Genomic DNA, 24,229 nt, shown 5'->3' on the forward strand with positions numbered 1-24,229 from the left:
GAATCCACAGATTGACTGTTTTTTTCAAATTTCTGTTGATATATGCTATGTTTTGTCAACTGAAGAATAAGGTTCATAAATATGGAAAGGAGAGCTTTGTTTTTCATAAAGGATTATAGCCTGCAGGGTGGCCGTTCTGACAAGCTGGGAAGCATAGCTCCCCAGCCAGAAACTAGGAATAGACACTTCAAGGGTCCAAAGAATAAGACAGGAATTTATGCTGAATGGGATGGCCAGATATACATATTCAATGAGCTATAGAAAAAATAATGCATATTTATGAAGAGAAACAAATATATATGCAATTGAGCTTCATGCCTCTCCGTAGGACCCACGTTCAAAAAACGGCGGCATCAGCGTGATCCCAGGGTGGAGTGTTGTGCTCTTTGACATCCAAAGGTGAAGTAGAGACACAAAAACCCTCACTGGGCATTCGTCATAGACTGGCCAGAATCATTCCATGGTTGGTGGTCTCTCATCAGGAAGAAAAGCTCATCAGTTGTTATGTTGAAACTGCTAAAAGAAGGGAGAGCAGTCAAGCAGTTGACACAATGGCGGAATCTTTTGAAAGGGCTGGTTTCTGTTTAGCTCTTACAGAAGAAAGCTTAATGATGGTCAGTGAAAGAGCAGGTATTAACGAGCTGTGTCTGACTTCCCATCCTGTCATGGCCGAGAACTCAGTTTTCTAGGTTAACTCTTAGGTCCCCTTGGTTAAGACGTGGTCTGTTCAGTAGGTTGGGCTCTTAAAATTTTATTTTTATTTCTCAGTTTCATAACAGAGGAGAAAAGCTATTCTTTCTTATCTTGTCCAAATTCAACTTTCAGTAATTTAAAGAATATCAACACAATATCTAACTATATTTTTAGAAATATTTTTACTATGTGTGTATGCATATATTTATGTGTATTCAAGAATAATTAATAGCAAGCTTTACTTTGTTTCATTTTGATAATTATTGTACCATACATTAATTAGGCAACTTGCTTTAAAATTAAACATTGTGTCTCTGGTAAGGACTAGTTAATTCCAGAATCCCAGGGATGGACAAGGGCCCACTGTTCTCAAGTGGGTAATTGTGATGAGATGGTTACTAAGGGTAGATGGTAAAGACTGGTTAAGTCCGGAACCCAGGATGATGGGAAACACCCCCTTCAGGATAACAGAAGAAAGGGGGGATGCCTTCTGTTTTCTTTTTCCTTTCTTCCTCCTCTGTTCTCTCTTCCCAGATGGGTAGTTATGTCTTCATACCACAGGACACGCCCCTTGGATGCATCCCCTAAAAGTGGGAAAAGTTTAATTTCCCCAAACCTTAAACTGTTTGGCTTATAAATGAACTAGGAGAAAATTACAAAAGTCAGCCTTGGAACCCAGTGCCCCTGTGCAGGAAGTCCTCAGATTAGCCTCTTCAGTCTTTCATAACTGAGAGCAGAAGAGGAAGAACAGGGCTAAGCCTGTTGGGTAGGGCAAATGGCATCCCTTCCCCTCAAATAAAAGATTAACACCCCTTTTTATTACTTAAGGGACCAATTACCATTCTCCCACTGGTCCTTGGTAATGTCTAAATACCTCATACCTCTTTGGGGCAAACATATAATCTCCAAGATCAGTGCTCACTTAATATTTACCTGTCCTCTGAATACATCTTTCTAATAGCCCTATTTCTCCCAGAAAAGCTACCTAAATCATTAACTAATAGCTTCAACCTAGATAGTCTTACCTCAGAGGTTTAGAAATATCCCACACTTATTCAGAAAAGCCCTAGCAAAAAAAATCTAACTGAGCAGTCTCTTCAGGGGGGATAACTTCTTTTTTTTTTCATTCAATTGTCGCTTTATTGCAAGATGGTTGAATTACAAATTTAAACTATAACCTGGTAATCTTTAGTCAGGCAGCAAGTTTTAATAAAGGCAAACTGCTTATTCAGAAGTGATCAGGGAACAACTCAAATGCAGAGTAAGAAGGATGAGAAACATCTAACTGGCTGATATATTAATTCTCTCACTGTATGAAATAAACTTTTCATTTTTAGGAGAGGTAAACTATAACTTCAGTAGACACCAATACAGAAATATTTTGTCACATAGACTACCTTCCATTTAGTCAGTCAACTGTTTCTAGCTGTCTCAATTGGGATAGATACCTTTACATAACTGGCTGTGCTTGAGCCTTCTTTGCCAGCAGCTTTAGGTCTGTAATGCACTTGGGAATTGTCTCCTTTTTCCTACTGTGCAGAGATGCTCTGAACCACATGCTTCTCCACCCAATTTATAATGTGCTCTTGTTCCTTTTGATGCATCATGTTCTGCACGGATATATGATAGTCTAGGCAATTCTTTACTTCCTTATGTACTCTATACAGCTGTTCCTGGTAAGTAAACTCTGAAGCCATAGGAATGTTTTTCCTCTGCACATCAAAAAGTAATGGCAGTACCTGCTGTGACTTCTCCAAATCAGTTGCATCCTGGATTTGTTTGATGGAAGCCTGCTTCGCCTCTTCTAGTTGGACAAGTTTTTGCTCATTGAGTTTATCAGCAAATTCTGCAAGAGAGGCACCATATTTTTTAATTGCATAGACAAGTAACCCTACTACTGATATGGTAGAGAAGGTCTCTGTGGTAATCACATATATTTCTTTGGATAAAGCATACAAAATAAGCCCAATTCCGAGCACATAGAGTCCTGTTACACCAGCTTTAGGATAAAGAAACAGGAAGAATTCCTCAGGGATCAGTCCAGGATGAACTTTTCCTCCGTATTCAGGAAGAGGTGGTAGAAGGGCAAGGTGTGGCTGCACTGTGTGAAATGTCCTTGTTGCCTGCAATACCCCTGGACCTAGGAAGGCTGCATTCTTCAGAGAGAGGGCCACTGTGGTGGCAGCAAAAAGTACCACCCAGGACAGCATGGTCAGTGAAGGTCCAGGCAGCAATCTTAGCATCCCTGTGAGAGGGGAGATAACTTCTGCAGTATGCAGATAACCTCTTTATCTGCGCCCCCTTCACAGGACTCCAGGGTCACTAGGGCTCATCAGGGAAAGGGAACCCAGAAGCCTGGCATGCCGGCAAAAGCATAAAAATTTTTACCAGTCAGACTTCAGGCCTCTCTCTCTCTATGCAAACCAGTTGTAGGAATGGTAAAAATCACCGTATTCTCTGCCCCTCCATGAATGACTTCTGACTTCCCTTCTTGAATTTTCCTTTCTCTGAGCTACCTCTGGAGACTTTAAATGTTTTAAAAACTCCTTACCACCTCTTTAAAAATACCTCATATGCTCATGGTTAAGTCATAACCTTAGTTAAGACTTATTGGTTTCACCTGTGAGGTTACTTTTGATAATGTTCAAAGGCCAGAAATATTGTTCGTTTGGCCTGGATAAAGTAGGGTAATAAGAGATGTAAGAGCATTTTTTTAAGAGCGCTATGGTTAAAAGTCAGCTTAATTAAAAGCAGATAGCCAAGCGGATACATATATTACAGTGTAAATGTTCATGAATATCAAGCAGAATGAGAGTTAACTGAATGGACTGAACTAATAGAAGAGTGAAGTAATCTTTTTGACTTTTTGCAAAATCTTTGTTTTTCAGAGCCAAGAAAACTTTTCTTTTGAGCTATTTACTACAGCTTTTCACAATTCAGTATACTCCTGTGAACAAAAATTTCACATATTTGTTTCTCTTTACCTGATTTCTCCAGAATTTGGAAACTATTTGTGAGTATTCTTAATGCGTGGCAATATAGTTATTGGCATAAGTGCAATTAGAATGTTTTCTTTTGCAACAGTACACCATGGGAGAAACTGGCTGTTTTACCAGGGCTTTGACTGGAATGGCATGCTTTCCTTTAAGGAATCAAGCTTGACTTATAGTGCCAATACAAGTCCCTTGGGGAGTCAGGCCTCATAACTTGTCTACACAGTCCCTGTACAGGGACCTAACCTGTGGTGAGTAAAGAATGTCACTGTCTAACAGGCCCAGGTGCCCCAAGTTTTCTAGAGACCTCAGAGGAGAGAAATCTACCCTCCTCACAGGTATTTGAGGGTACAAACCCATGGCTGTGCTTGGCTTTTAAAATGTCTTATCTGAGATTTCTTATGGAACGGAGTTCCATCGAAGCCAATTTTAAAAGCCTATGTAAAAATAATTATCCTTGCTGCACTTTATGCAAACAATCAGGCCAAATATAATAAGACTAAAGTTTATTTTGCAAACAAATCATTCCTATCCTGATTTTAATAAAAAGGAGGATTGTAAAGAGAAAACCTATGTTTCACAATTTATGGTACACCTACTATTACATTCTAACGTCATTAGTTGTTTTTAAGTTTTTGTCTGCATTTTAGCCTAACCCTGCTTATTTCTGTGAACCAACCAGCGATCCCTCGCTGCAGGTCAGAAGAAACAAAGGAGATGGGTTATTTAGAAATCTGCACCAATATTCGAGTTCTGGGCACACTGAAATAAGTTGGCAGCCCAAGTCTTAGCAGGCAGGACCATGGCCACCAGTTACCTGGGTGTGTTGGCAGCCTCAATTTTTTGGAGCTGTCCTCATTCCCTTATTTTACTTTGGTCCATGTCTTCTAAATCTAGTAACATGATTTGTCTCCTGTTGCCTTCAGGCCATCAAGCTTCAGATCAGTGTGGGATACTGTCCTCTCAATATTCAAGAGGCACCCCTCTACATGGGACCCCTAGACTGCCCATCAGTGGGACAGGAAGGCAAACTCCTGCCCCTGTCTCCCTTAGACCTTGCTAGATACCACTTTCACCAACCCATGGAGTCACCCTGCTGCCCTGACAGCTAGCAAGAGGCCAAGACCTGCAGAACCACCACAGCCCCTTTGTCAGTGGGAAGCAGTTACAGAAGACTGAACTTTGTCTAATTTCCTTCAAAGATCTGAGGTCTTGGGCTCTTGAGGGGGAAAATTTTACAGGTAGTTAGACAGGCATGAGCCAGGCAGGAGAGGGCTCTCCCCCACCCCCTAGGAAAGTCAGGTGATGGTTCAGCAAGTATCACATCGCCTCTGTAAAGGTGATAAACTGGCTGCCAGGGCCAGGGAGAGGCCATTTTCTGATGGTCCATACCTGTTACACTAAAGTGTTAATTGAATGCAGATGCCAGGGAGGAGCAACTTCCAGGGCATGTGCATCAAGAGACAAAACAGTGGAATATGTCCTGGGGACACTCCACCAGAAAGGGGAAGAAAAACCTCAGATTGGTACATATACAACTTCCTAAACACACTTTGTGTGCTTATTTTTCAAGCAGAAGGAAGGCACTGCACATGTGGACAGACTGCCCTAAGAGAAGAATCATGGAAAAGGGGTCAGCCTATAAAGTCCTAAGATCAAGGTTAAAGACCACACTTGACCTTCATGTCCCAACTTAGGTTTCTTCCAAACTTACTTTCCTTTCTTTCCTGTTCTAAAGCCCTTTTAAATAAATATCCACTCCTGCTCTGGAAAAAAGAATGAAACATTGTGCCTCATAAATCTCACATGTATCTATAGATCTAGTTCATTCTTATTAACTGTGCTAGCTTATTACTTTATACTTTATTTTGATTCTTCATCAGTCAACTTGATATACTGTGTTTCTATAGCTGTATATTCTTTGGAACACTTGGAAGAATTTCTATGTAGGACACATCAAATAGAGAGAGAATTGGTGGGAAATTTCAGCTTTTAAAGCAAGTTGCCTAATTAATATTACAATATATGCTTTATTTGACAAAACTCTGGAATCTTTGAGAAATAATTCTACATGTCAAAGCTCAAAACTATTAAAAAGACCTAGAGGTTCAAAGACACTTGATCTTTTCTAAAAAAAAATCAGGTCAGCACCTGGCATTCAGAGACTCACCTGGGTATTTCAGATGTTTGTTGGCCTTGGCATCACATCCCTAGATGACTTGGTCACAACACTCTGGATTCCTGGGCAGCAGCTGTCAGCTAAGAGGGCTGGTGGGGGCTGCTTCAGCACAGCATCTTCCTGAGGATTTTCAGGTCCTCTTGCATGGTTTTTTTTTTCTTCCTTTTTCTAGAGACAAGATCTTGCCATGGTACCCAGGCTGGTCTTGAATCCCTGGGCTCAGAGAGATCTTCCTGCCCTGGCTTCCCAAAGTGCTAAGATTACAGGTGTGAGCCATTGTGCCTGGCTTTATGTACTGTGTCTTTAAATGCCTTTCAATTAAAAGCTCCTGCCTTTATACTGGGCTGACTTTGAGATGTGCAAAGGCCAGGCTGATGTTGCTGCAGCACCCTTCACAGGCAGAGCTTCTTCGGTGGGGCTGGCTGCTGAGGAGATACAGCTGGGTCCTGGTAGGCCACGCTTCACAACCTGCAGATACTGCTCTGGTCCATGGAGGAGAGAGTTTTGCAAGAGTAGCCTTTAGAATCCCCCATCCAATTGTCACTGCTGTGGGGCTTTGTGGTTACTCTGTTCTTGTTGGCTATATTGCCTCTCAGGGGAACAATGCCTGAAGGGCTGGGCAAGAGCCTCCTTCTTCTGAAGGCAAAATGTCATTAGACTTTGCATGATGTGATTTGAGCAGTGCTCCTGCAATCTTTGTGCTCGTTGGTTTTTCAATCCATATTCTATGGAGTCAGTCTTTTCAAGGCCACTGTAAACTATATGGTCAGGAGCTCAGGAGCTGTAACACATGTGGACACCGCTTCTGTATGAGAAGGGACCAAGAGCTCATGGAGCCTTCCTGTAGACAGTCTTATTTTTCTTCTTCTTTTTAATTTTTCATAGACAGGGTCTTACTCTGTCACCCCGGCTGGAGTGTAGTGGAATGATCACGGCTCACTGCAGCCTCCACCTCTGAGGTTCAAGTGATCCTTTCACTTCAGCCTCTGAAGTAGCTGGGACCATAGGCACAAGCCACTATGCCTGGCTAAATTTTTTATTTTTTTTTATTTTTCTGTAGAGATGGGATCTTCCAATATTGCCCTGGCTGGTCTCAAACTGCTGGGCTCAAGTGATCCTCCCACCTCAGCCTCCTGAGTAGCTGGGACCACAGGAGCACACCATCATGCCCAGCTAATTTTTTAAAAAGTTTTTTTATAGAGACAGGGACTCACCATGTTGCCCAGGCTTTTCTTGAACTCCTGGGCTCAAACAATGTCACCTGGCTTTTTTCTTTCTTTCTTTCTTTCTTTTCTTAATGTGGAGGCTTCTGGTAAGGGCTCTGCCTTGTGCTACTGTGTGGGTGACTGTGGGCCTGACCTGCGACTGTGTTTCTCTGACACTTAGCACTACTTTGCAGAGTTGCATCCTTGGTTCCCTGCTGCAGACCCTTGTCCACTCTTCAACTTAAAGTTGCTGCATTTGGGTCCTGGGTTGCTCTGAAGCCCTTTCCTGCATATCTTGCCCCAGAGGCAGAAGGGGTGAGTCGGCAGCTATTTGGAGAGACATGTGCTGCAGTTGAGAGCACAACGGCTTTCCATTATTCTGAGGCAGTTGACTCTGCAGCTGTGACTGAGCCGAGGACCACTGCTTCCCTAGATCCCAAGGACCCGAGTCCATTGGGAGCTGTTCCTGCAACATCATCCCCTCTAAGTAATTCTGAGGCTGTTGGTGCTGCTGCAGGTGATACTGCCAATCATTCTGCTGCTGTTGTCCCAGCAGTGAGAGACAGAATGAGCAAAGACAATGGTCTTTCTTCACCCCATATGCACCTTGAGCGTAATCCAAAAGGAAAGGACTTGCATGCTGGCTTTCCTTGGTTTCAGTCCTTTCTCCATGAAAATATGGCACAGAAGATGGGGGAGGATGAAGGCATTCTGCAGAGTTGTAGCTGAGAAAATGATAGGCAGTAGAATGCCCACTTCCAGAATGCCCACTTCCTGTGTCACCTCCATACCCCATAGCACAGCCTGGATGCTTTTCAGTGCCTGTGACCAGATAGGAACTCTGGGAGGCCACCTGTTGACTGGGAATCCCTAGTTTCTCCAGATAGGAGCACTGGGAACCCACCTGTTGACTGGGAATCCCTGGTTTCTCCAGATAAGAGCACTGGGGGCCCACCTGTTGACTGGGAGTCTCTTGGTTCTCCAAAGAGAAACAATTATAGCCCATTTCTTGACTGGGAATCCACTGTTTCTCCAGATGGGAGCAACCAGCTCTTCTCATCAGAGCCCTCTGGGCACCAGAGAGGCTCTGCTTGGTGGCATAGTTGTGAGCTGCAGCCTGGGTCTCCTGGCAGCTTAAAAATGAATGGGCTTGGACTGGAAAATCATGCTTTTTCTGAAGAACAAATATTCTGCGTCTTTCTGCAGGTGGAAGTCTGGCTCTTTTATTCTGGAACCAATTCTAGAGAGAAAAGATAATATTGTTTTATTGACTCTACTTATCTGAATATATTCTTATATGCATTCCTTAATGTAGGAGGATTTTTCTATTTAAGCCTCTTCCAAGCAGAGTCCCTGACTTGCCTGCTGACATTAAAGCATATAAATAATAAAGGCAATCTGTCCTAGAGGTACATGTGATAACACAGGTCATGCATTGCGCATTTCTAGAACCATAACCTCCTTCACTGGAGACATTGACACCATGGTTTACATGTGAACCTTGGCTTCCCAGAATCTCTCCCCAACCTGTTTGTGACCCATTTGCAATGTTCTCCTGCATGTTCACTAAGAGACCCACTCTGTGCTACAGAAGAGGCTCCCAGCTGTCCCACCTAGTCATGCATAGTTCACACAACCCTGCTACTTTACTCATACTCTCCCGCCAAGGAGAATTAGTGGTGTATTTTCTGACATACACATTTCTGTTCCTTTTCTTCACTTTTTTTTTTTTGGACAGAGTTTTGCTCTTGTTGCCCTGGCTGGAGTGCAATGGTGTGATCTCAGCTCACTGCAACCTCCGCCTCCTGGATTCAAGTGATTTTCCTACCTCAGCCTCCCGAGTAGCTGGAATTACAGGAGCACCACCATGCCCGGCTAATTTTTTTTGTATTTTTAGTAGAGACGGGGTTTCGCTATGTTGGCCAGGCTGGTCTCGAACTCCTGACCTCAGGTGATCTGCCCGCCTCAGCCTCCCAAAGTGCTGGGATTACAGGCATGAGCCACCACATCTGGCCCACATTTCTGTTTCTTATATGTACATAATTCTGACATGCATTGGTTCACGGGTTACAACTAAAGAGTGCAATTGTTTGAATAACTTCTTGACCATCTATTTGTTGTATGACTCTCTGAGGGAAAAAAAAAAACATTTTTCCTCTGCTCTCACACCACAACAATCAACAGAGAAAGGCTTGTGTGAGCAAATGTGTTTTTCCACACACCAGGCAAACAGTCAGTTCTGTAGTGCACACCAGGTGGGTGTCCTTCAATTCAATTCTGACACTATGTACCTGGAAATACTGTCAGATCCCACAGGTCGAGGGCTCAGTCCTGCAAGTCTGCCCCTCCTTCAGATGCCAGTTGCAAGTCTGGGCTTCTGAAACTTTTGGCTGACTGGCTTCAGGTCAGGGCTCCTGCTGACCTCCTCTCTGGGTTTGATTAACTTGCCAGAGTGGCTCACAGAACTAAGTGAAACACTTAGGTTTACCAGTTGATTAGAAAGGATATTACAAAAGATACAGATGAAGAGATGCATAGGGTGAGATATGGGGGAAGGGATGCAGAGCTTTCCTGCCCTCCCTGGATAAGCCACCTCCAGGAACTTCCACACGTTCAAGTATCTGGACCCTCTTCAAACTCAGTGTCTTTGTTTTTTTTCTGGAGGCTTTATTGTATGGTCATGATTGATTAAGCCATTGGCTATTGGTGATCAACTTAACCTTCAGCTCCACCTCCTCTCCAGAAGTTGGAGGGTGGGGTTGAAAGTCTCAATTTTCTAATCCTGCCTGGATCTTTCCAGCTTTCATCCTGAAGCTACTAGGGGCTACCCACCCAACAGTCAGTTCATTAGTAGACAACTCTCAGATTTATATCTTAGCTAAGTGCTCTCCCAACCCTTCAGAATTGCATATTCAACTGTTCACTTAGTGTTTCCACTTGGATGTTTATCTGACATATGAAACTTCATGTGTCCAAAATGTAAACTTTGATTTCTCTGACACACCTGTCCCTCCCTAGGTCCCCTCCTTAGTAAAAGGCAACTTTCATCTTCCATAGACTTAAGTCAAACGTCCAAGTAACCTTTGAGTCCACCTTACCTTTCACAGCATAACCCACACATAGTAAACTTTGTCAGCTCCATCTCAAACATCTACAGTCTCATTAGTACCATCCACCTGCACAGCTAGCAAGCTGGCCCAAACCACCGTCACCACCACTAACTACAGCAGCATCAACTCATCCACTGCTTCCAAATTTGCCTCACTGCAGTCTAGTTTTTACAATACATACTCACTGTATTTTCACAAGTACATAATACTATTTTCTTATGCGATGAAATGCTATATACTGCTTAATTCTTTACATTTTTCATATTGTTATGTGCATGTGTACAATTTTCTCTCAAACTGGTTATGGATACCAACGTTTGAGGATGTCTCAGGCCCTCATATATATAAAACGGTGTAGTATTTGCATATATACTATGCACATTCTCTCATATGCTTTAAACCATCTCTAGATGACTTACAATACCTGATACCTAATATAACACAAATGCTACATAAATATTTCTTATTCTGTATTGTTTTAACATTTGTATCATTTTAAAATTTTTGTATTGTTATTTGCTCCCCACCCCCACACCTGCAACCTCCTCTCACATTTTTTTTGAAACAGGGTCTCATTCTGTCACACAGGCTGGAATGCAGTGGTATGATCAGGGCTGGAAGCATCAGCCACAGCGCCCATCTTATTTTCATTTTTTAACTTTCCAAATATTTTTCATTTGTGGTTAGTTAAATCTGTGCATGTGGACCCAGTGGAGATGGAGGATTAACTGTATATACATATGTATTTTGATTGCACTTTCCCATTTCTTCGAATTCTGTACCTTCCTATCCAATCCCCTGCATTCTACCTCCATCTGTACTTATTGCCCTTTAATTTTATATGGAACAGCTGGATGTGGTGACTCACGCTTGTAACCCCAGGACTTTGGGATGCTGAGGTGGGTAGATCTCTTGACCCCAGGAGTTCAAGACCAGCCTGGGCAACATGGTGAGACCCCATTTTTTACAAAACATAAAAGCCTGGCGGGGTGGTGTGTGCCTGTAGTCCCAGCTACTCAGGGGACTGAGGTGGGGGAATCACCTGAGCCTGGAAAATGGAGGCTGCAGTGAGCCGTGATCATGCCACTGTGCATCTGCCTGTGTGATAGGAGTGAGACCTTGTCTAAAAAAAAAAAAATCTAGGAAATATACATATGAGGTCTTGAACTTACATCTATCACATTTACCGGACAATCAAATTTGATGGCCAGTGTTTTCCTAGTTGTGTAATCGGGATAACAGTTCTCTCCAAATATTTCCTTAAGTTCCTGCAGTAATTCTTCAGAAAATTTATGTCGGTGTTTTGTTTTTCTTTTATTCTTTGTTTGTCTTTCTTCATTATGATGATCCTCTTCAGCTGGGAAACCTGACAAAAGTATAAGTAGCGAGAAGGGCATTAGAGAATATTGGTAATAACCAGACCAAAGAAGAGTTCCCAACAGTGTTAGCACCATAGATTCCCTCCCCTTCCCAAGATGAAATCCACGTGTGACCTCATAGCTACTCACAATAATAAAATTACAAATGAAAGCAGGAATTGGCTAACTCTAGGCCTATGGGCCAGATCCACCCAGTTGCCTGTTTTTGTAAATAGAGTTTTATCGAAACACCATCACATTCATTCACTTATGCATTGCCTATGGCTGTTTTCAAGCCACAACAGCAGGCTTAGTAGTTGAGGCTCCAATGTGTCTAGGGTCGACACAGCCTAACATATTTACTATCTGGATTTGAGAATTTATATTTAAAATTAGAACTAATTGCAGAAGAATATTTTATTATTTCATCACCGTAAGGTAAAACAGGAAAAACTGATCTATACTGATTGGAAGGCAGGACATGGGCTACTGAGGGAATGGAATCGGGAGCCTGAAAGTGAGCGAACAGAGGCCTCTGGGTGCCACTAAGTTTTCTTTATCTGAGTGCTGAGTTCCACGAGTGTAGTTGATTTGTGAACATTAGTTAAATTAAACATGTATAAATATTTGCTATTTTTGGCATGCATGCTATATTTCAATTAAATATTTCTTTTGAGCCAAGATGGCCAAATAGGAACAGCTACAGTCTACAGCTCCCAGCGTGAGCAACACAGAAGACAGGTGATTTCTCCATTTCCAACTGAGGTACTGGGTTCATCTCACTGGGGAGTGTTGGGAAGTGGGTACAGGAGAGTGGGTGCAGGGCACCGAGCATGAGCCGAAGCAGGGTGAGGCATCGCCTCACTTGGGAAGTGCAAGGGGTCAGGGAATTCCCTTTCCTAGTGAAAGAAAGGGGTGACAGACGGCACCAGGAAAATCAGGTCACTCCCACCCTAATACTGCGCTTTTCCAATGGTCTTAGCAAACGGCACACCAGGAGATTATATGCTGCGCCTGGCTCAGAGGGTCCTACGCCCATGGAGCCTCGCTCACTGCTAGCACAGCAGTGTGAGATCAAACTGCAGGGTGGCAGCGAGCCTGGAGGAGGGGCGCCTGTCATTACCCAGGCTTGCTTAGGTAAAAAAAGCTGCCAGGAAGCTCAAACTGGGTGGAGCCCACTGCAGCTCAAGGAGGCCTGCCTGCCTCTCTAGACTCCACCTCCGGGGGCAGGGAACAGCCAAATAAAAGGCAGCAGAATCATCTTCAGACTTAAATGTCCCTGTCTGACAGCTTTGAAGAGAGTAGCGGTTCTCCCAGCACGCAGCTGGAGATCTGAGAACGGACAGACTGCCTCCTCAAGTGGGTCCCTGACCCCTGAGTAGCCTAACTGGGAGACACCCCCCAGTAGGGGCAGACTGACACCTCACACGGCCGGGTACTCCTCCGAGACAAAACTTCTAGAGGAACGATCAGGCAGCAACATTTGCTGCTCACCAATATCTGCTGTTCTGCAGCCTCTGCTGCTGATACCCAGTCAAACAGGGTCTGGAGTGGACCTCCGGCAAACTCCAACAGACCTGTAGCTGAGGGTCCTGACTGTTAGAAGGAAAACTAACAAACAGAAAGGACATCCACACTAAAACCCCATCTGTATGTCACCATCATCAAAGACCAAAGGTAGACAAAACCACAAAGATGGGGAAAAAACAGAACAGAAAAACCGGAAACTCTAAAAATCAGAGTGCCTCTCCTCCTCCAAAGGAACGCAGCTCCTCACCAGCAATTGAACAAAGCTGGATGGAGAATGACTTTGACGAGTTGAGAGAAGAAGGCTTCAGACGATCAAACTACTCCGAGCTAAAGGAGGAAGTTTGAACCCATGGCAAAGAAGTTAAAAACCTTGAAAAAAAATTAGATGAATGGCTAAGTAGAATAACCAAAGCAGGGAAGTCGTTAAAGGACCTGATGGAGCTGAAAACCACGGCACGAGAACTACATGACGAATGCACAAGCCTCAGTAGCCGATTCGATCAACTGGAAGAAAGGGCATCAGTGATGGAAGATCAAAGGAATGCAATGAAGCAAGAAGAGAAGTTTAGAGAAAAAAGAATAAAAAGAAACAAACAAAGCCTCCAAGAAATATGGGACTATGTGAAAAGACCAAATCTACGTCTGATTGGTGGACCTGAAAGTCACAGAGAGAATGGAACCAAGTTGGAAAACACTCTGCAGGATATTATCCAGGAGAACTTCCCCAATCTAGCAAGGCAGGCCAACATTCACATTCAGGAAATACAGAGAACACCACAAAGATACTCCTCAAGAAGAGCAACTCCAAGACACATAATTGTCAGATTCACCAAAGTTGAAATGAAGGAAAAAATGGGAAGGGCAGCCAGAGAGAAAGGTCGGGTTACCCACAAAGGGAAGCCTATCAGACTAACAGCGGATCTCTCAGCAGAAACTCTACAAGCCAGAAGAGAGTGGGGGCCAATATTCAATATTCTTAAAGAAAAGAATTTTCAACCAGAATTTCATATCCAGCCAAACTAAGCTTCATAAGTGAAGGAGAAATAAAATCCTCTACAGACAAGCAAATGCTGAGAGATTTTGTCACCACCAGGCCTGCCCTAAAAGAGCTCCTGAAGGAAGCACTTAACATGGAAAGGAAAAACTGGTACCAGCCACTGCAAAAACATGCTCAATTGTTAAGACCATCGAGGCTAGGAAGAAACTGCATGAACTAAGGGGCAAAATAACCAGCTAACATCATAATGACAGGATCAAATTCACACATAACAATATTAACCTTAAATGTAAATGGGCTAAATGCTCCAATTAAAAGACACACACTGGCAAATTGGATAAAGAGTCAAGACCCATCAGTGTGCTGTATTCAGGAAACACATCTCACGTGCAGAGACACACATAGGCTCAAAATAAAGGGATGGAGGAAGTTCTACCAAGCAAATGGAAAACAAAAAAAGGCAGGGGTTGCAATCCTAGTCTCGGATAAAACAGACTTTAAACCAACAAAGATCAAAAGAGACAAAGAAGGCCATTACATAATGGCAAAGGGATCAATTCAACAAGAAAAGCTAACTATCCTAAATATATATGCACCCAATACAGGAGCACCCAGATTCATAAAGCAAGTCCTTAGAGACCTACAAAGAGACTTAGACTCCCACAGAATAATAATGGGAGACTTTAATATCCCACTGTCAACATTAGAAAGATCAATGAGACAGAAAGTTAACAAGGATATCCAAGAATTGAACTCAGCTCTGCACCAAGCGGACCTAATAGACATCTACAGAACTCTCCACCCCAAATCAACAGAATATACATTCTTCTCAGCACCACACCACACCTATTCCAAAATTGACCACATTAGCTGGAAGTAAAGCACTCCTCAGCAAATGTGAAAGAACAGAAATTATAACAAACTGTCTCTCAGACCACAGTGCAATCAAACTAGAACTCAGGATTAAGAAACTCACTCAAAACTGCTCAATTACATGGAAACTGAACAACCTGCTCCTGAATGACTACTGGGTACAAAACGAAATGAAGGCAGAAACAAAGATGTTCTTTGAAACCAATGAGAACAAAGACCCAACATACCAGAATCTCTGGGACACATTCAAAGCAGTGTGTAGAGGGAAATTTAGAGCACTAAATGCCCACAAGAGAAAGCAGGAAAGATCTAAAATTGACACCCTAACATCACAATGAAAAGAACTAGAGAAGCAAGAGGAAACACATTCAAAAGCTAGCAGAAGGCAAGAAATAACTAAGATCAGAGCAGAACTGAAGGAAATAGAGACACAAAAAAACCTTCAAAAAAATCAATGAATCCAGGACCTGGCTTTTTGAAAAGATCAATAAAATTGATAGATTGCTAGCAAGACTAATAAAGAAGAAAAGAGAGAAGAATCAAATAGACACAATAAAAAGTGATAAAGGGGATATCATCACTGATCCCACAGAAATACAAACTACCATCAGAGAATACTATAAACACCTCTACACAAGTAAACTAGAAAATCTAGAAGAAATGGATAAATTCCTAGACACATACACCCTCCCAAGACTAAACCAGGAAGAAGCTGAATCTCTGAATAGACCAATAACAGGCTCTGAAATTGAGGCAATAATAGCTTACCAACCAAAAAAAGTCCAGGACCAGACGGATTCACAGCCGAATTCTACCAGAGGTGCAAGGAAGAGCTAGTAACATTCTTTCTGAAACTATTCCAATCAATAGAAAAAGAGGGAATCCTCCCTAACTCATTTTATGAGGCCAGTATCATCCTGATACCAAAGCCTGGCAGAGACACAACAAAAAGAGAATTTTAGACCAATATCCCTGATGAACATTGATGCAAAAATCCTCAATAAAATACTAGCAAACTGAATCCAGCAGCACATGAAAAAGCTCATCCACCATGATCAAGTGGGCTTCATCCCTGGGATGCAAGGCTGGTTCAACATACGAAAATCAATAAACGTAATCCAGCATATAAACAGAACCAATGACAAAAACCACATGATTATCTCAATAGACGCAGAAAAGGCCTTTGACAAAATTCAACACTCCTTCATGCTAAAAACTCTCAATAAATTAGGTATTGATGGGATGTATCTCAAAATAATAAGAGCTAATTATGACAAACCCACAGCCAATATCATACTGAATGGGCAAAAACTGGAAGCATTCCCTTTGAAAACTGGCACAAGACAGGGATGCCCTCTCTCACCACTCCTATTCAATGTAGTGTTGGAAGTTCTGGCCAGGGCAATCAGGCAGGAGAAAGAAATAAAGGGTATTCAATTAGGAAAAGAGGAAGTCAAATTGTCCCTGTTTGCAGATGACATGATTGTATATCTAGAAAACCCCATCGTCTCAGCCCAAAATCTCCTTAAGCTGATAAGCAACTTCAGCAAAGTCTCAGGATACAAAATCAATGTGCAAAAATCACAAGCATTCTTATACACCAATAACAGACAAACAGAGAGCCAAATCATGAGTGAACTCCCATTTGCAGTTGCTTCAAAGAGAATAAAATACCTAGGAATTCAACTTACAAGGGATGTGAAGGACCTCTTCAAGGAGAACTACAAACCACTGCTCAATGAAATAAAAGAGGATACAAACAAATGGAAGAACATTCCATGCTCATGGGTAGGAAGAATCAATATCATAAAAATGGCCATACTACCCAAGGTAATTTATAGATTCAATGCCATCCCCATCAAGCTACCAATGACTTTCTTCACAGAATTGGAAAAAACTACTTTAAAGTTCATATGGAACCAAAAAAGAGCCCACATTGCCAAGTCAATCCTAAGCCAAAAGAACAAAGCTGGAGGCATCATGCTACCTGACTTCAAACTATACTACAAGGCTACAGTAACCAAAACAGCATGGTACTGGTACCAAAACAGCATGGTACTGGTACCAAAACAGAGGTATAGACCAATGCAACAAAAGAGAGCCCTCAGAAATAATGCCACATATCTACAACCATCTGATCTTTGACAAACTTGACACAAACAAGAAATGGGGAAAGGATTCCCTATTTAATAAATGGTGCTGGGAAAGTTGGCTAGCCATAAGTAGAAAGCTGAAACTGGATCCCTTCCTTACACTTTATACAAAAATTAATTCAAGATGGATTAAACACTTAAATGTTAGACCTAAAACCATAAAAACCCTAGAAGAAAACCTAGGCAATACCATTCAGGACATAGGCATGGGCAAGGACTTCATGTCTAAAACACCAAAAGCAATGGCAACGAAAGCCAAAATTGACAAATGGGATCTAATTAAACTAAAGAGCTTCTGCACAGTAAAAGGAACTACCATCAGAGTGAACAGGCAACCTACAGAATGGGAGAAAATTTTTGCAATCTATCCATCTGACAAAGGGCTAATATCCAGAATCTACAATGAACTCAAACAAATTTACAAGAAAAAAACAAACAACCCCATCAACAAGTGGGTGAAGGATATGAACAGACACTTCTCAAAAGAAGACATTTATGCAGCCAAAAGACAAATGAAAAAATGCTCATCATCACTGGCCATCAGAGAAATGCAAATCAAAACCACAATGAGATACCATCTCACACCAGTTAGAATGGCGATCATTCCAAAGTCAGGAAACAACAGGTGCTGGAGAGGATGTGGAGAAATAGGAACACTTTTATACTGTTGGTGGGACTGTAAAGTAGTTCAACCATTGTGGAAGTCAGTGTGGCGATTCCTCAGGGATCTAGAACTAGAAATGCCATTTGACCCAGCCATCCCATTACTGGGTATATACCCAAAGGATTATAAATCATGCTGCTATAAAGACACATGCACACGTATGTTTATAGCAGCACTATTCACAATAGCAAAGACTTGGAACCAAGCCAAATGTCCAACAATGATAGACTGGATTAAGAAAATGTGGCACATATATACCACAGAATACTATGCAGCCATAAAAAATGATGAGTTCATGTCCTTTGTAGGGACATGGATGAAGCTGGAAACCATCATTCTCAGCAAACTATCACAAGGACAAAAAACCAAACACCGCTTGTTCTCACTCATAGGTGGAAATTGAACAGTGAGAACACATGGACACAGGAAGGGGAACATCACACACCCGGGCCTGTTGTGGGGTCGGGGGAGGGGGGAGGGATAGCATTAGGAGATGTGCCTAATGTTAAATGACGAGTTAATGGGTGCAGCACACCAACATGGCACATGTATATATATGTAACTAACCTGCACATTGTGCACATGTACCCTAAAACTTAAAGTATAATAATAAAAAAAACTTTCTTTTTTTCTTTATTTTTGAGACAGTCTCCCTCTGTCGCCTAGGCTGGAATGCAGTGGCGTGCTCTCAGCTCACTGCAATCTCCGCCTACTGGGTTCAAGCTATTCTTGCACCTCAACTTTTGTAGTAGCTGGGACTACACATAGGCACCACTGTGGCTTCCTCTTTTTTTTTTTTTTTTGAGACGGACTCTCGCTCTGTCGCCCAGGCTGGAGTGCAGCGGCACCATCTCGGCTCACTGCAAGCTCCGCCTCCCGGGTTCACGCCATTCTCCTGCCTCAGCCTCCCAAGTAGCTGGGACTACAGGCGCCCGCCACCACACCCTGCTAATTTTTTGTATTTTTAGTAGAGACGGGGTTTCACCGTGTTAGCCAGGATGGTCTCAATATCCTGACCTCGTGATCCACCCGCCTCGGCCTCACAAAGTGCTGGGATTACAGGAGTGAGCCACCGTGCCCGGCGTCTTTTTTTTTTTTTTTTTTTTTTTTTTTTTTAGGCAACCTTGCTATGTTGCCTGGGCTGGTTTCAAACTCCTGGGTTCAATTGATCCCCCTGCTTTGGCCTCCTTGTTTTATTATTACTCTGTATTTTTACTTTAGGCATACAGCCAGTCATACTAAATTGGATAAACACTTAAATGTACATATTAGAAAATTATAATCGATGACCTAAGTTTCCAAAGAAAGAATTTACTGAAAATGTACAAAATTACCAAAAGAGGAAGCAGTAGGGAAGAGGAAAATTAATGAAAATTAATGAAAGAGGTAAAACTTGTGGAACAATTGAGGTTAAGAAAGATACACAAGAACTGGTACTTTGTAATGGAAAGTAATACATCTTAATAAAATTCTACAGGATGCATTAGGTAGTTCATACATTCTTTTCTCCACTTAAAGTGTTGACTTTAGGTAGATGATCCTTGTATGGGACTCACGGCTGCCATTTTACATTTGAAATTCAAGAGTCCAACTTCAAAGTACCCATGAATGCCCTAACACAATTTACCGGTGAAAAACAGCTGCTGCTCCAACAATCTGTACCTCTGTGTTTGTGCTTTAAACTTTGACACACTATTGAGAAAAAGCAAGGGAAGTAGCATTGTAAGAGAAAAAGCTGATGGGAACTTACCACCTGAAGTGCCGTCCAAATTCATCTTGGGGTAGAAGACCTGGACTTCACGGAGACCAGCAAGCAACTGAGATCAGCAAGCAACTGAGCAGCTCCTAAAGACACAGGCTTTATATAGGGTCAAGATGACCCGCCCCTTTCTTAAATAGCTTTCAATTTAATCCCCTCATTAAATATTTAACACCTGCAGAAAGAAACTTGAAGTAATTAGATTAAGTGGAAGTACAGATCGTACTAGGTGATTTTTTCTCTTTAATAACACCTTTTCAAATATGACTCTTGTTTAATTATTTTGATTTGGCTACATTAGTTTCTACATTATAAGAATGTCCTTACCTTACTCTGTATTTTTTGTTTTCCTCGGCTCTTCTGAAACCCACGTCTTTTCATCATTGCGATGGTGCTATCTATGTGTCAACTTGGCTGCTTTACACTCCCTATTTTTTCAATAAAACATGAATCTAGGCTGTTTTATTCATGTTGCTGTGAAGGTATTTTGTAGATGTGATTAGGTTATATAATCAGTTGACTTTCAGTAAATGAGAATATTTTGGATAAACTGAGTGGGTTCAATTCAATCAGTGAAAGGGCTTAAGAGCAAAGGTGAGGTTTTTCTGGAGGGAAGCGGGAAAGCACATCTGGATGGGCGTGGTGTCTCGTGCCTGTAATCCCCGCACTTTGGGAGGCTGAGGCAGGAGAATCACTTGAGCCTTGGAGTTCAAGACCAGCCTGGGCAACACAGGGAGACCCTATCTTATTTATATGAAAATTAAAAAATTTCCCACCCATGCTCAGCTGCTGCCTCAGGCGTTTCTGACTGGTTTTCCAAAGGGCTTGCCCTACAGACTTTATTCTTGCCTATCCAGCCCCTACAATTATAGAAGTGAGTTCTATATTGCTATGATCTGAATGTTTATGTAGCCTCAAAATTCATAGGTCAATATCCTCCCCACCAAGGTAATGGTATTAGGAGGTGGGGCCTTTAGGAAGTGATTGAGTCACGGGGGCAAAGTCCTCTTGAAAGGGATTAGTGCCTTTATCAAAGAGAGCAGAGAGGGGGAGGGAGGGTTGAGACCTCTGTGATCCTTCTGCCATGTGAGGTTAAAGTGAGAAGACGGCTGTCTAGGAGGAAATGGGCCCTCACCAGACACCAAACCTGATTGTACTTCCCAATCTCCAGAACTGTGAGAAATAAATTTCTGTTGTTTATAAAGTAGCTGGTCTATAATATTTTGTTATAGCAGCCTAAATGGACTAAGGCACATATATGTCCCTCTATATATGTACGAGTATGTATATGTATGTATGTATATGTATTTATATATTTATAGTATAAACACACGCACATACGTTTTATATAGCTCACTAGTTCACTATGGGATTTGACTTCAGAACACTACTGATTGTTTCTCTGATTGAACCCTGAATGATAAAGACCTTGGTATTGGAGGTGGTTCTGTAAGAACAGAACCTTACAGAGATATGTATGTTTATAAATATACAACTAAAAATAGGTATATTTAAAGTTATATACGTCTTCTATTTATATAAGGACTCCAGTTCCAGTGGTAAAGAGGGCACTGGTAGTCCATGGCACGATGTGGCAAACATTGCCATTGGACAGCCCCAGCTGAGTGCCAAAGTTAACCCGCAGCAGCGACGGACACTGAGTGACCCACTTAGAGTGCTAACATAGGGACAGATGAATTACGCTGGACCACTTCCTTTGTGGAAGGGTCACTGCATTGTTCTTATTGGAATAGATAATCTGGAGACAGATTTACCTTTCCTGCATGTAACATTTCATCAGAATTACTATTGTGGACTTAGGAATGTCTTATTTATCCTCATAGCCTTGACTTTGATCAAGGAACTCACTCCACAGCGAATAAAGTGTGGTAATGGTTAGGAGCAGTGGCTCACGCCTGTAATCCCAGCACTTTGGGAGGCCAAGGCGGGTGCATCACCTATGGCCAGGAGTTTGAGACCAGCCTGGCCAACCTGGTGAAACCCCGTCTCTACTAAAACTACAAAAATTAGCCAGGCATGGTAGCAGATGCCTGTAATCCTAGCTACTCAGGAGGCTGAGGCAGGAGAATCACTTGAACCTGGGAGGCAGAGGTTGCAGTGAGCCAAGACAGCACCATTACACTCCAGCCTGGGTGACAGAGCGAGACTCTGTCTCAAAAAAAAAAAAAAAAAAAAAGTGGTAAAGACTCATAATCTTTACTCAGCAGTTCAACTGTTAAATATCTAAAGCAACAGCTATAATTAGGAGAAAACATTTTCAAGGGCTAAATCACCCAGACAATGAAGCTACCTATTCAACTAATTTTATCTGTATATCCCTGCATTTAAATAAGTGACAGCCCATGATCACAATTAATCAAATATTAATAGTATACTTCAATTTATACTGTTTTATATATGCTATGGGAATAAAATAATTGAAATTATAATCAAATTTATCTACTAGTTTTTAACCTTCTCTAGGAAATTTCTTTTTTTCTTCCCCAAATCATGACAGCCTAAAAAAGAAAAATCATCATTTGTGTTACTTTTTGCACAACAGGGAATCTTTAAAGTACAATCATGGCTTAGAAATGCATTGCTTTATAAGTGAAGTGTAGAACTTGGGGACACTATATGCCATTCTATTTTTTGACAATGACACATATTTTACTGTCAAAAAAGACAAGGATAGATCAGCCTCCCGAGTAGGTGGGACTACAGGCATGTGCCACCATACCCAGCTAATTTTTTTTTGTATTTGTGTTAGAGACAGGGTTTCTCTATGTTGGTCAGGCTGGTATTGGACTCCTGGCCTCAAATAATCTGCCCGCCTCAGCCTCTCCAAGTGCCACGATTACAGATGTGAGCCATCACGCCTGGCCATGCCTTTATCATTTTTACTCACAGATTAAGGCATAATTGACAAATAAAATTGTATATGTATATGGCATACATGATGTTTTGATATATGTGTGTATTGTGAAATGATTTCAATCCAGCCAATTAACATATTGTCATCTCACATACTTGTCATTTTTTCTTTTTTTTGTGGTGAGAACATTTAAGATCTGGTCTCTTAGCAATTTTTTTTTTTTTTTTGAGATGGAATCTCGCTCTGTCACCATGCTGGAGTGCAGTGGCTTGATCTCTTCTCACTGCAACTTCCGCCTCCCGGGTTCAAGTGATTCTCCTGCCTCAGCCTCCTGAGTAGCTGGGACAACAGTTGTATGCCACTAAACCCTGCTAATTTTTGTATTTTTAGTAGAGATGGAGCCTCACCATGTTGGCCAGGATGGTCTTGATCTCCTGACCTTGTGATCCGCCTGCCTCAGCCTCCCAAAGTGCTGGGATTACAGGAGCAAATTTTTTTTTTTTTTTCAGATGGAGTCTTGCTCTGTAGCCCAGGCTGGAGTGCAGTGACGCGATCTCGGCTCACTGCAACCTCCGCCACCCGGGTTCATGCCATTCTCCTGCCTCAGCCTCCCGAGCAGCTGGGACTACAGGCACCCACCAGCACGCCCAGCTACTTTTTTGTATTTTTAGTAGAGACGTGGTTTCACTGTGTTAGCCAGGATGGTCTCGATCTCCTGACCTCGTGATCCACCCGCCTCGGCCTCCCAAAGTCCTCGGATTACAGGCGTGAGCCACTGCGCCTGGCCTGCAGGAGCAATTTTTAAGTATACAATATATTATCATTAACCATGTGGTACAATAGGTCTCCAGAATTTATTCATCTAACTGAAACTTTATACCTTCTGGCTAACATCTCCCCATTCCTCCCACACCCCAGCCCCTGGCAACCACTATTCTACTCCCTGCTCCTTTATTCTTTTTAGTTTTTTCTTTGTTTTTTTTGAGATGGGGGTCTTGCTATATTGCCCAGGGTGGAGTACAGTGGCTATTCACAAGCACAAACATAGTGATCCCCCTGCTTCAGTAGCTGGGACTACAGGTGTGCACCACCACACCTGGCCATCCTTTTAAAATATGGAATTTCGATTGTTGTTTAAAGGGCACAATTGTATTTTATTTTATTTTTGAGAGGGAGTCTCACTCTGCACCTAGGCTGGAATGCAGGGCGTGATCTCAGCTCACCGCAATCTCTGCCTACTGGGTTCAAGCGATTCTCCTGCCTCAGCCTCCCGAGTAGCTGGGATTACAGGCATGTACCACCATGCCCTGCTAATTTTTGTATATTTAGTAGAGACGGGATTTTGCCACGTTGGCCAGGCTGGTCTTGAACTCCTGACCTCAGGTGATCCGCCCGCCTTGGCCTCCCAAAGTGTTGGGATTACAGGTGTGAGCCACTGCATGCCCCCACAATTTTCTTTTATTATAGGAAGTTTAAAGCCAGTGATTCCTCTCCTTTCTTTCTGTGTCAGGCGAATAATCAAACCCACAGAGAAGCTCATGGTTTACTCCCAGATCCCAGTTCTAAGTATGCAGCAGAACCGCGCCTAGAGCCAGGTCATCCTGCATTGGTATACTTACAAGATCATATACATATATTATTACATACATTATTATTTTTTGTGTGGTTAACACTATCCAGGGGAGGAAAATGATATGCAGATCAATATCACTTAAAATTCTGCTATATGGAATTCATTACAACAATACAATTTTTTAAATTTAAAAAGTGGTCACAGAATCTAACGTCTTAAGACAACTTAAAGTCAGCAAAAGCAGATAAATCAAATCGCATATTACTA

General features: G+C 42.2%; 1 protein-coding gene and 1 pseudogene across 1 annotated transcript; both read right to left on the reverse strand.

Annotated features, from left to right (window-relative positions):
- Positions 1,947-2,953, reverse strand: ATP5PBP7 (ATP synthase peripheral stalk-membrane subunit b pseudogene 7; annotated as a pseudogene).
- CPHXL (cytoplasmic polyadenylated homeobox like) lies at positions 7,219-19,578 on the reverse strand. Its single transcript, NM_001355613.1, has 3 exons — positions 19,506-19,578; positions 11,353-11,546; positions 7,219-8,310 (listed from the first exon to the last, which is right to left on the reverse strand). The coding sequence occupies exons 1-3, from the start codon at positions 19,528-19,530 to the stop codon at positions 7,312-7,314; spliced, it is 1,218 nt and encodes a 405-aa protein (NP_001342542.1). The 5' UTR covers positions 19,531-19,578; the 3' UTR covers positions 7,219-7,311.

Source organism: Homo sapiens, chromosome 16 (assembly GCF_000001405.40).
Source record: "Homo sapiens chromosome 16, GRCh38.p14 Primary Assembly".
Lineage (NCBI taxonomy): Eukaryota > Metazoa > Chordata > Mammalia > Primates > Hominidae > Homo > Homo sapiens.